At 38.9% G+C, this 12,079-nt stretch overlaps 1 long non-coding RNA gene across 1 annotated transcript in view, besides 2 other annotated features; it reads left to right on the top strand.

Moving 5' to 3' along the window:
- MYOSLID-AS1 (MYOSLID antisense RNA 1) overlaps positions 1 to 12,079 on the top strand; it is a 67,627-nt gene that overhangs the window by 45,983 nt on the left and 9,565 nt on the right. The window lies entirely within an intron of this gene.
- Positions 5,352 to 5,552: a silencer, noted in NCBI's record as "peak4025 fragment used in MPRA reporter construct". NCBI's record gives its function as "represses an SCP1 promoter by STARR-seq MPRAs in K562 erythroleukemia cells {active_cell/tissue: K562}" and the evidence as "EXISTENCE:reporter gene assay evidence [ECO:0000049][PMID:32103011]".
- Positions 7,666 to 8,244: an enhancer, noted in NCBI's record as "NANOG hESC enhancer chr2:208064814-208065392 (GRCh37/hg19 assembly coordinates)". NCBI's record gives its function as "activates a minimal SCP1, AML or CMV promoter by ChIP-STARR-seq in naive H9 embryonic stem cells {active_cell/tissue: H9 hESC(naive)}" and the evidence as "EXISTENCE:reporter gene assay evidence [ECO:0000049][PMID:30033119]".

Here is a 12,079-nt window from a genome sequence, read left to right as displayed (position 1 = left end):
GAACCCTTTCCCTCTTTCCAGGTACCTGCCTCAAGCATCTGGGGGAAGACCCCTCCTCTGCACTGAATAAGAGCCTCTATCTAAGATACCATTGGCTTCACTTCAGCTACAACCAAGCCAGCATCAGGGATGCTGTTTTCTCATTCCTTTCTGGGTCCAAGCTCTCATTGTTTAAAAATCACCATCTTCCAAAAGTTGTCAATCTAGGTATCATTTAAGATGTGTACATTTTGGACTGCATCCAAAAGAAGGTAGTTACTGAAGAATGAAAAGGCTTTCTTCTGAGGCAATTTCACTCATAAGGTGGTTCCTTGGCTTGGAACCAAAGAACATCCTCAATTACAAAAATAAAACATATACATGAAATAAGGAGTTTAAGTTTGGCAGTGTGTGATTTGTAACATAAATGACATAGGAAATAGGTATAAACTACAGGGTTTGGTGGCGAACGGAGTGTAGTTCAGGTTGAAGTGTCAAGAAGACATTTCTAAAGGGTGCTAAGTTTGACATAGGCCTTAAAATGTGTGTATGTCTAGATGATGGAGATGAGATGGAGATGAAGTGGAAAAATAATATGAACTGTGACAGTGATGAAATGGTAAATTTCACTATCACTTTAACAGAGTTCTTTAAATCTAAAAACTGAATTATTGCAATCATCAGTTTATTGGAAAGTATATAAGGAGAGGACAAATCCTTATATCCTGCCATAAGCCTTTCGTTGGTAGTGCGGGGAGGATTCCTATCAAGGAGCAGTGTTGGGGGAGGTAGGTCGGGATGGTAACTTAGGGTCTGATAGTAAAAGGCCTTGAATAAGAGGCCAGGGATTTCGGTATTTGTCTTATACACTGGAGACCTAGTGTATGTTTGGGGACAGAAGATACTCTTATAGTTGCTTTACTTTAGTAAGAGAAACTTGAAAGAGGTATAGAGTGAAGTAAAGAGGGAAGAAATTGATTATGAAAAACAGTTTAAAAAGTATGGCACTTGACGTGCATTATCTTGATCATTATAACATCCTAGAGGTAGTTACTTATTGTTATCTCTGTTTTTCAGATGAGGCTTGGAAATATTAAGTAATTTGTCCAAGGTCACATAGCTAGCACATATCTGATCCAGAACTTAAACCTAGATTTGTTTGCAGCTAGAGTTGAATTTTTGTCTACTTTCTGGGCTGGGCATGGTGGCTTATGCCTGTGATTTCAGCACTTTGGGAGGCCAAGGCAGGAGGATTTCTTGAGGCCAGGAGTTTGAGACCAGCCTGGCCAACATGGCAAGACCCTATCTCTATAAAAATAATTCTCCTTATATACTTTCTGATAAACTGATGGTTGCAATAATTCCATTTTTAGATTTAAAGAACTCTGTTAGGATGAAAGCAGTGGGAATGGAAATGGAGGTTGGTTGTGAGAGATATTGTCACAGACCTAGTGACTGAGTGTGAGCAAAAAAGCAAGGACAAGTCAAAGATCTGGTTTTGTAACTTCGAGGCTGGACGTCAAAGGAGAATTATGGCAACATCAGTTGAGAAAGAAATTTAGGAGAAAACTCTGTTTCGGAGAGGAGATTATGAATTATTAATGAAGCTACAATCAACACTGGCCTTCAGCTCTTTATCCTTTCTTTCTCCTCTATCTTATCCCCACTATCTCTCCCCTTCATTACCAGCATCTATGAAAGGCAGTAAGATGCTTGTTTTAGCCCTATTCTAAGTCCTGTAAGATAAAATTTATATAATGTACAAGAGGCTAGGGTGAGTGCAGGGCTGAAAAGGGGGAATTAGTATTTAATGATAATCCTTAATTGTATTTCTCCTCAGTCCTTGGGATTCATTGCAATCAGATTTCACTGTAAAAATACTATTACGCTTACTTTGCACCACTATCCTAGTCATGGCATTGGGCCCATGGTGCAGTTACAAGACCAAATCACAGTAGGCATTTAAAATTAATGATCTTTTCGCTGTATGGCAACGATATCAATTGTAAGGCACAGCCTGAATACCATCTTGTGGTTTTTATAAGGGGAAAATTAGTGGCACTTGGATTCATGAAAGGCTTATGGCAGCCCTGGGCCCTGTGGTGGCACTAATATAGCCATCACTGGAATGCCAAGAGGTGGCCTGCTGTGTTAACAACTGTTATTTTGTGCCAAACTCACACAACTGAAAGTTTATGGGCCAATAAAAAAAAGATGCTGCTCTACTCCTTTGGTTATGAGATGCAAGAGCTAGCACTTTGGAAAGCAAGCTACCTTGTTTCCTGCTAACATATGCCTGTCAAAGTGTGCAGTTTCTATGGTGAAAGGCATATCGTAAATATGTTCTTGTTGGCATTTCTTTGTCTAGTTGGTGAGCCTTGCTGGAATATTGTGCTTGGATTTGAGTACTGGGCCAGCCAGGGAAGCTGACTTAGGATGGAGTAGCTTTAACATTTCAGTCAGGATGGTGGTTTGTTTGGGGACAAAGGTGACTTTGAAGGGCAGAATGGAGCAGATCAAAATGCCTGAGCTCTGGGTCAGAAAGACCAGGCTCTGCCACTTAGCAGTTATTTAATTTGGTACAAGTCACATAGCTTGTCTGAGGCTGCACTGCCCTATCAGTACAATGGAGTTAATGCCATTTATTTTGAAGGGTTGTTTAAAAGATCAGAAACAATGTGTACAAGGTGCCTTGAAATTGCAGTAAGAACACATTTATTGAGTTCTTATTATCTTCCAGACCACATGTTAAGCAGCTTACATGCATTATATAATTTGATTCTTATAATTGCCCAGTGAGGTAAGTAGTATTTTTATTCCCTGTTTTACAGATTAAAACACTGAGTGTTGGAGAAGAAATTTGCTAAAGTTATTTCTCCAGTTAGTAAGTGAAGAAGTATGGACTTGAACCCTAATCTGCTGACTCTGAATCCTGTATTACTAAAAAACTAAGTTATAGGTGTTAGTCATGTCTGTGATTTAGGTTCTGCCTTGCACTGTATAATTCTAGTATGATGAGTTTTCAGTATATCTCATCTATAACCTTTTTCATGTATGGTTAGTTGCATTTTTGTCATACTCTAAAATTACAGGTCCATGAGCTCAGATATTTATTATTTATGTAGGCACAGTTATTCAGAAGAGAAAGGAGTTTAATACTTAGAGAAGTGGGAATGGGTATTGTGATTACTCTTTTTTTTTTTACTTTTCAAAACCACAAACTCATTATGTATCTTATGGCAATTACTAGAAGCTCTACATTTGGATTAGCTATCTGGAAAATGGAAAATGCAAATAATGGCCTCATTTAGGAAATGTATCAAGGAATCAATTGAATACAAACAGTCCTGCTAATCTCCCTTGTGGAGCTATTCTGGTGCTAACACAATGATCCTGAGGTGTTGAATGCCATTATACAACCAATGGTAAACAAAACACAAGGCATCTTTAATATTAAGCATACCCCCATCAGAGAGGAAATGTACCCTCCTTTCAGTATGAGTATTCCTGGAATGCGCCATGGTTTTGCACAGTGATTGTCCACTCTCGTTCCTAGTGATTATTTGTAGGAAACATGGGTAACCCTAAGAATTTAGTTTTCTGTGAAAATGCACTCTAATGTTTAAATGTCTGCAGTTCTGAATTAGCAAATCTTAGACTCTAGTGGCTTCTTCAAAGTAGTTAATCAGGTAGCTGCAGTAAAGATGGATTCTGTATTTATAAATGCCTCCCAATATCCAAAGTTCTAGAACATTTTCTTAAAGGAATTCAGGTGTTTTTCTGACTCCTTTTGTGGCACTAGACATTGTCTTTATGCTTCATGGCAACCCTATGGAATAGGCACTATTTTTTTTTTTTTCTCGAGGCAGAGTTGCGGTCTGTCGCCCAGGCTGGAGTGCAATGGCGTCATCTTGGCTCACTGCAACCTCCGCCTCCCGGGTTCAAGCAATTCACCTGCCTCAGCCTTCCAAGTATTCCAGGGATTACAGGCGACTGCCACCATGCCCACCTAATTTTTGGCGCTATTTTTATCCCCATGTTATAGATGAGAAAATGTTCAGAAAAAGTAAGATCACTCAGCATGCACTAAAACTAGAATTCAAACTTCGTCTTATAATTTCAAAGCACAAGCTATAGAGTTCTACAACCTCTCTTAAAGGCCTTCATTTTTTCAGCCTCAGCCAAGTACTAACTCTACTATCAGGCAGTGCGATACTTCCTGGGAGACAGGGTGCAATGATTATTGAGCAAAGCATTAAGATTGAGTTGGGGCTCTGGGGCCTCTCTGGGTTTAAATCCTGATTCTGCTATAGAGCTGTGTAATCTAGGGCAGATGACTTAATCTGTGTATCATTCTTATGAGAAAATATTTAATATGGTTGGTGTAGAGATTAAATGGCTTAAAACTTAAATCACACAAAGGAATGTAGGACATCTTCCAAAAAAGTAGGTATATAGTAGGTACTCAAGAAGTATTTATAAATGATCAAATTAATGAATGCATATGAAAATTACAAGAGATTATAATCTAGTTCTTGGGACCAAGTAAGATTTAGATTTTGTTAGCTAAGTCCTCCTTTAATCAGCATCATTTGGCATCAAAATGCAAAGACTAAGAGCATCATGTAATTTAGGATCTAGGAGGCATCTGTAATATCCTCTCTTCTACCTCACTGTGAGTGAAGAGAGTGAGATTCCTAGAGGTTAGGTGACATTGTGTGAAGTAACTCAGTGAGCTGACAAACAATATTAGGGTTTAGCTCACTTTACTTCTCAAAGACTTTATAAGCTTGGATGGAACTATCACAGGGGTGATTTGAACTCAGTAATTTTTTTTATAAAACTGTCTTTTTATACTTTTCCATGGAAGGAGGGAAACAGTGGAAAAGGAAGGAACATTTCCTTTTGGAAGCTGTGAGTTCATGTGAAATGTAATCTCCATAATGTTTGTGATATAAAACTGCATTTCAGCTCTGGTTCCTGGCTTTGGACATGGGTTGGGATCCAAACTCTGTCATTGGTAAGCTATGTGAAGTTGGGCAAGCCATTTAACCTCTCTGAGCCTAAGCATATCTCACTCATGAGATTAATAATCATACAGGCTCAAAGAGTGGTCATGAGGAGGATTAACTGAGATGGTGTAATCCAAGCACTTATCACGGGACCTGTCACAGAGTAAACTCTAAATAGGTAGTAGCTGTTATTGTGGACCATGTTAATCTTTTCTGTGGAATGTCTCACTTAATTTTCTATTTTTGTTTGTGAGGTTGCCCTACTTTACATAGTTTCCAGCTTTGTTAAATACTCTCTCAAATTGCTCACTAGCCCTTATCTGGTTCTATATCAGATCTAGACCTTCTGACCTGTTTTTCAAAACCTTCATTATAAAGCTTCACTTTGTGTCTCCTACTCTTTCCCTCAGGACTCCTCTCAAAGTGCACTTTTCCATCCAGTCTACCTCTGCTCTGTCCGTGGTCCTGACTTCTTGGGTTCACATTATCGGGTCTCTGTCTTTTAGCCTATCCAAATCTTCCTTATGCCTTAATGCCTTTCAAGGCATAGCTGAAGTTTGAGCTCTTTCAAGAAATCTTCTCTGATTATCCCGGTCCTTACTGAGTTACTATTCTGAGGTTCTGAATGTGCTTTAAAACCTGTTGGGATGGTGCCTGATTTGCACTGCAACGGGGGCTTATCAACTGTGACTGAAAGTGAATTGCTATGAAACTATCAATGCAATGTTATATGTGGGGAGTGCATCTAATCAAGAATGCATGAAATATATAATTCTAATACCAACATATTATATTGGTATGATGACGCATGAGTAAATTATATAGAGTAATTATAAATATATGCATTAATTTCTAAAAAATAGACACAGATGAATACCTGACATCAATTTGCTAAAAGGAGACCAATGTATTTAAAAAGATACCTTTTTCTTACCAATATATTTATGCAAGTGTGCAAAAATGCACAAAGATGTTATGGTAGCATATTTAAGATATCAAAATATTGAAAACACTCTAAGTATATATCAATAAGACTTGAAGTTATGGTATATCCATACACAAAATACCATGTAGTTATTGAAAAGAACAAAATGGATCTATATGTATTGATGAGGAAAGATGCCCTTGATGCATTATGTGTAAGAAGTAAGCTGCAGAGTAGGTTATGTGACTTAATTTTGTAAAATAAACATGTATTTCAAATATATTTTATGTTCCTCTATGGATAGAAAACAGCTAGATACATGCTAAATTGTTGAAAGTGCTTATCTCTGAGGAGTTAAATATTGAAGATGGATTGGGTAATTAGAATAATCATTATTATGTCTTTTGAATATCTATACAATAAATAAAATCTCTTCTGTATCATAATTTTAGACCAAAGCAAACAATTATAATATGTATTTAAAACTTTAAACAAGACCTTGTGCTTGCTTTCCCACACTCTTAAGATTTGGAAAAAAAAAGTAAAATGTATAACTGAAAGAACTGCTTTTTTCCCAGTGTAAATTTTCTCTCAGCAATAAATGTAATTCATAGGCCTTCCTTTGACCTTAGAGCTGCATTTGACATTATTCTTCTCAAAACCAATAGTCAATATCCCCAAATTTCAGAGATCCAGTAAGGACATTATGGGAGATGATATTTTAAAAATATGTCACATCTTACATGGCTTTTGCACTGACCAGTCCGGATGGATGCTGGTTGGTATGCTGGACTGGGGCACCCTGGCAGAATATCAACTCTGGCCTTGGCTTTGTGAATTGGCAGAAGGCACGCTCTTAAATCTGTTCTTCACTTTTGTTGTCTTTTGCTTGATTTCTCTCTTTTCCTATCTCTCTTTTCCTACCCAACCCTAAAGGGGACATTATGAAGACAATTCACATGGCAGGACAGAAGAGATAGTCATTATCTATGTGCTTTGTTCAAGAAGATAGAAGGTGTGATAGGGAGTTAGGATGGTGCAGTAGAAAGAGAATGGGCTTTGGAGCAGACAGATCTGGGTTTGAGGCCTGGCTGGGTCATTTCCTGGTTGTATTACCTAGGCAAGACAAGTAAATCTCTCTGAGCTTCTATTTCTTCAAGTATAAAATGATGCTAATCTCTATCTCTTGTGGCAGTTGTTAAGATAAAATGAGGTCACTTGTCAAGTGTCTGGGGCATAAGTATTTGCAAATGTTAATAATCACCTATCTCTCTCCTACTTCCCAATTTTTCTTTCTAGATGCCCTTGACTTATTCTAGAATGTAAGATTCAAGCCTTTTCAGCATCTGCTGATGAATGCACTCTTTCCTCTCCTTGTACTGTCTGAGTTATTGCCCATTGCCAAGTCATGTACCCATTGTGTCACTGAATTAAAACAATGATGTGTGAAGACTAGGTGTTATTAGACATCTTTAAATGCACAATCATCAAGTAACACAGAACACAGAGCTCACCAACCTAGCAATTTAGCCCATAATTACATGGGAGTTCACGTGGGTCAGTTTCACCTTTTTTTTAACTCTATTAGAAACTCCTTAAGGGCAGAAGCCAATTATTCTCTGACAAATACAACAATCCATTGTACAATTATGAGTATATTCACCAGATACTTATTGACTGATTGACTGGTTCATGGGTGGCAGAGCCTCTTTATTGTGGACAAAGGAGCTTTCAAACTGGTCAACAGAGCTTGATAAGGAATAAAGTCCAAATCTCGCTGTGGGAGCTGGATTACACTTCATAAACAAATGCATCTGCACCAACATCATTGCAGATTGAATAAAATATTTTATCTGTAGGTATTCTTCATTTTCTCATTGGCTTTTTAGTGGCTCATTTGTGTAATGGAGATGCTGTGAGGCAAGCTTCTATAGCCTGAGAGCACAGGCAAACATCCCTGAGCTCAGGAAAGTACCCGGACAGGCCAGAAAGCAGGAGGGAAAGCCTTGGTGAAGGCAATTGAGAAACCTCCCGGCGAGACATTGTCTGCGGATCACTGGCCTGATATCACATAAAGGCCCCATCTGAGCCATTACAGCCTATTGTGTCAATGTGTTTTCTGGGAGGCTGTCATCCATAGATCACAGTTGGCAGTGAAGGTAATGCCTCCACGGGAACTGTTACTATTTCCCATCGGTGAATTCTATTAGAGGTCCGTGGGTTACTGCCACTGGAGTTCATATTAACTCGGTCAAAGGGATGGTGATTGATTCTGTGGAATTTTGTGAATACACACAAAATACATTTCATACTGTCATCTGAGTTTTGTATTGCGCTTCCATGATCCCTGCTACATGGTAAATCCAATGTAATCTACTCGAATTGTTACAGAGAAAAAAAAAAAATTTCCCATGCCATTTTAAGGCTAAAATACCTGCCCATTTCCTTTCTTCTCCAGTCACAAAAGATTTAGACCTAACTATAAAACATTGACCTCTCTTCTGACTTAACAACTCAGTCTGATGGGAAGGGCATTTATTGAATTTCCACTGTGTATAAAGAAACAGCAGTGGGACCTACAGGACGATACCAAAAACTTAATACATTAGGTTTGTACCTCCAGGTTTATAATATAGTTAGACAGAAGACACTCATAAAAATGATTAAAGAATATAATTATAAAACAACAGGAAGTACCAAATTAATACACAGGTGTGCCACTTAGTGCAATAGCTGTGTTCTTGAAAAGATGAGTGAGGGCTGAATCTTGTGAAGCACTGAAAAAATTAGCTATTTATAAAGTAAATAGTGATTTCTTGTATAGTCTAATTTGTTGATATTAAAGATTCTAAATTTTGTGAACATTCTTTCCCTTTAAGTGGGTTAGATACTTTGGGCTACTGGAAAAACAACAAGTTTAGTGGTAACCGTAGAAAGTTTTCTAGATTAATTGAATTTTGGATGAGATGCTGAAAGTGAAAGGAATTGGTAGTGATTTCAGCGAGGACCAATCTTCCCACAAGCTCATAGAATCAGGTCTCCATTTTCTTCCCGAAAGGGTGCTGCTCAACATAGACAGAGCTGATGCAAAGACATTTATGTGATTTGCAGGTGGAGTTTTGTCACTGGTATGTGAGTCCTTTATTTTACATGCCTTTCTGAACTGCATTCTGACATAGCCTGCATTCTACAGCTGTATAGCCTGAGACTTTTTGTGTACAGATAGATGCTTGGTGGTCCTCTGATACTGTGTCTGAACTCCTGGAGGAGAAGCAGGTACTCTCAGGGCATCCAGGGTTACTGTGGCCAGTGGCACATGAGTGGAAGAGCCCGAGGGTCTTGTTCATTGTGGCAATTCTTTTGTCCCTGTGACTCCTCTCTGAATGTCTTCAAAATGGCAGATAATGCTGGGACGTTTACTAGACTGAGGTCTCCATTCTGAAGATGGTGTAATAATCTAGACGGACAAATTTCTGTCTAATTCCTTCCTAAAATCCCTTAAGATGTCCCTTGAATTTATAGCTCCTTTTAGTTCCCATAGTTCCCTGCTTGTTTGAGTTCTCTTTGTCAGATAAATTGATTAATAGATGATAGATGGATGGATGGATAGCTAGCTAGCTAGAGATATCAGCAGCCTCTCAGATGATTGTTCTAATTTTCATCTCTCTTTGGTCCAATCCATTCTAAAACCAGCAGATAATTCGACTGTGTGCAAACCAGCAGATAATTCAACTGTGGGAAACCTATTGTTTCAAATAGGTAATTCAGGTAAAAATTTTTCACTCTAAGACCAGGTCCCTCACAAACTCCCTCTCACTGCAACCGAACCCCTCTTTCAATCTCTTTTATCACCAGCATTTCTCCTTCCTTTGTACTCTCTGCTATCTCCTAAGAAAAAGCCATTCATTCTGCTTCTGTGGTTTTCTATGAGATACCCCAATGCTCAAAAGGCCCACTCAACAAAGAGCTCCAGGGACTCATCCAAGCCACATCCTGCAAAGCATAGCTTCAAATTTATCTTTTCTAGGATATGTTCCTTAATGCATCATTCTTTCTTTCTTCACATTTTAATGTGACCCTTACAGTGTATTCTTTTGTCAGTATAGAACTTGTTCATCTAATCATACATAAAGTGTTTTACATCTGGGTTTTGTTCTTCAATTATATTGCAAGGTCTTAGTAACAGGGGCCATTTTTCTATTTCTTTTACCTGTTCCTGTCCCTACTCCACCCCTGACAGCAACCAGAATACAGTATTGTTATTGAACCTGAAAGTAGTTACAGGCAACCACCAACTAATCATGAATATTTTCTAAAATATTTTAAGTTGACATTTTAGATTTGGAACTGTTTCCTTAGGAACAAAATTTAAAATGGTGCTTAAGCTCCTTGTCAAGCCTTCAAATGTCTATTTGCTTATACTATAGCATTAGTCCCATTAAGTTAATATTATTGTTGTATCATTCCTAATAATGCTGTAAGTAGCTTATTCATTCAAATTTTATGTATTATGGACTTTTCCTGAGCCAACACAGGGTGTATGGTGGTGAAATATGGACCCTCTTTAGGAAATACGTGCTGTAGAGGTAAATTACAGCAAGCAGGGATAGGAAGTAACGCGATGATCACAGAAGGCTTCCGTGAGGAGGTGACATTTATACTGACTTTAAAATATGGGAAAGAATCATTTGGGCAGAGTGGAAGAGCACCAGACAGAAGGAACCAAGTGTGAAAAAGTCCTAAGATAGAAAATAACTTGCTATGCTCAAGAGCCTAGAAGGCTAGTGTGGCGTAAACATGAAAGTAAAGAGAGATGGTGGCAAGAACTAAGATTTGAGGAGGCAAATACCAGGTCACACAGGACTTTGGCCTCTGAGAGGAGTCCAGATTTAATTTAAAGGTGATGGGAAGCCATTGAGACTTTTTTTTTTTTTTTTTTGAGATGGAGTCTTGCTCTGTTACTACAGGCATGCACCACCACACCGGGCTAATTTTTGTATTTTTATTAGAGATGGGGTTTCACCATGTTGGCCAGGATGGTCTCGATCTCTTGACCTTGTGATTCACCCACCTCGGCCTCCCAAAGTGCTGGGATTACAGGTGTGAGCCACCATGCTGGGCCACCATTGAGACTTTTAAGTACAGTTGTAGTTTTTTAGATCATAAATTGAATATTATTGAAAGAACTAGCTGGACATGTAGACAAGTTGTTTCCATGGGACAGTAGTTTCCACAGAGTGGCAAGGAGAGATTATAGAGAATTGAAGAATGTTTGTGCAAAAGTCCCAGACATGGCAAGAATGGAGCCCAATATCCAAACCCCCGTTGTGGGAAGCCAGGTTGGCCAAATGATTGGATATTGGTTCTGCAGGGCTGAGAAGGAATAGAAGATAGCTGTCTCAGGTAAGACTGAAAGCTGAGAACCTGAGCAGAGAAACAATTTCAGCTAGAAAGTTGCAGGGAAAGCTGAGGTTCCAGCCCCAGAAAGACTAAATCTCAACAAGTTCTGAAGTCAGAGGGCCAGGGTCACGTGGCTGAGAGTTGAGAGTGGGACAAGAATAGGTCAGCAATGAAGAGCCCCTGGGAGCTCCCGGCTTCCTTTGGTGGTGGTGGGGTAGGGGTGGATTGGCAGGTATGTGGTGTGGGAGAACCTACCTGCTGCCTCCTGAGAGCAGTGGCAGGGAATCCAGTGACAAGAGGCTTCCTCTCACTTTCTCAGCCTCAAAGAACTAGAATGCTCCATTGACATAGGCAACCCTGAAGTCCACAGCAAGTGATAATTTATAATAGCGATTATTAGAGTATCTACTTGATAAAGGAGCTTAGCTCTATGAGCGTAAGGGCCAGATCTGTCTGGTCCACCACTATATTCCCAGAGTCTAGCAGGCTGCCTTGCACCCAGCTTCCAATCAATACATGCTGCTAATTGAATAAGGTTGTTGAGAAATTTAAATGAAATAATATAAGGAAAGGGCTTAGCTAAAATTGAATCCCACATATTGAAAGGCTGGCTTAAGGATACTAACAAATTAGTAAACAGATCTAATTTGAAACCCTACATACATATCTCAATAAGTGGCAACATTTTAGCTATAGTGTGATAAATGTATTCCTGGGGGAAAAAAAACCCCAAAACATTGTGTTCTGCAAAAGCCTATGCCAA

This window comes from Homo sapiens, chromosome 2, assembly GCF_000001405.40.
Source record: "Homo sapiens chromosome 2, GRCh38.p14 Primary Assembly".
NCBI classification, from domain to species: Eukaryota; Metazoa; Chordata; class Mammalia; order Primates; family Hominidae; genus Homo; species Homo sapiens.
This window is presented reverse-complemented; position numbering and strand designations above follow the sequence as displayed.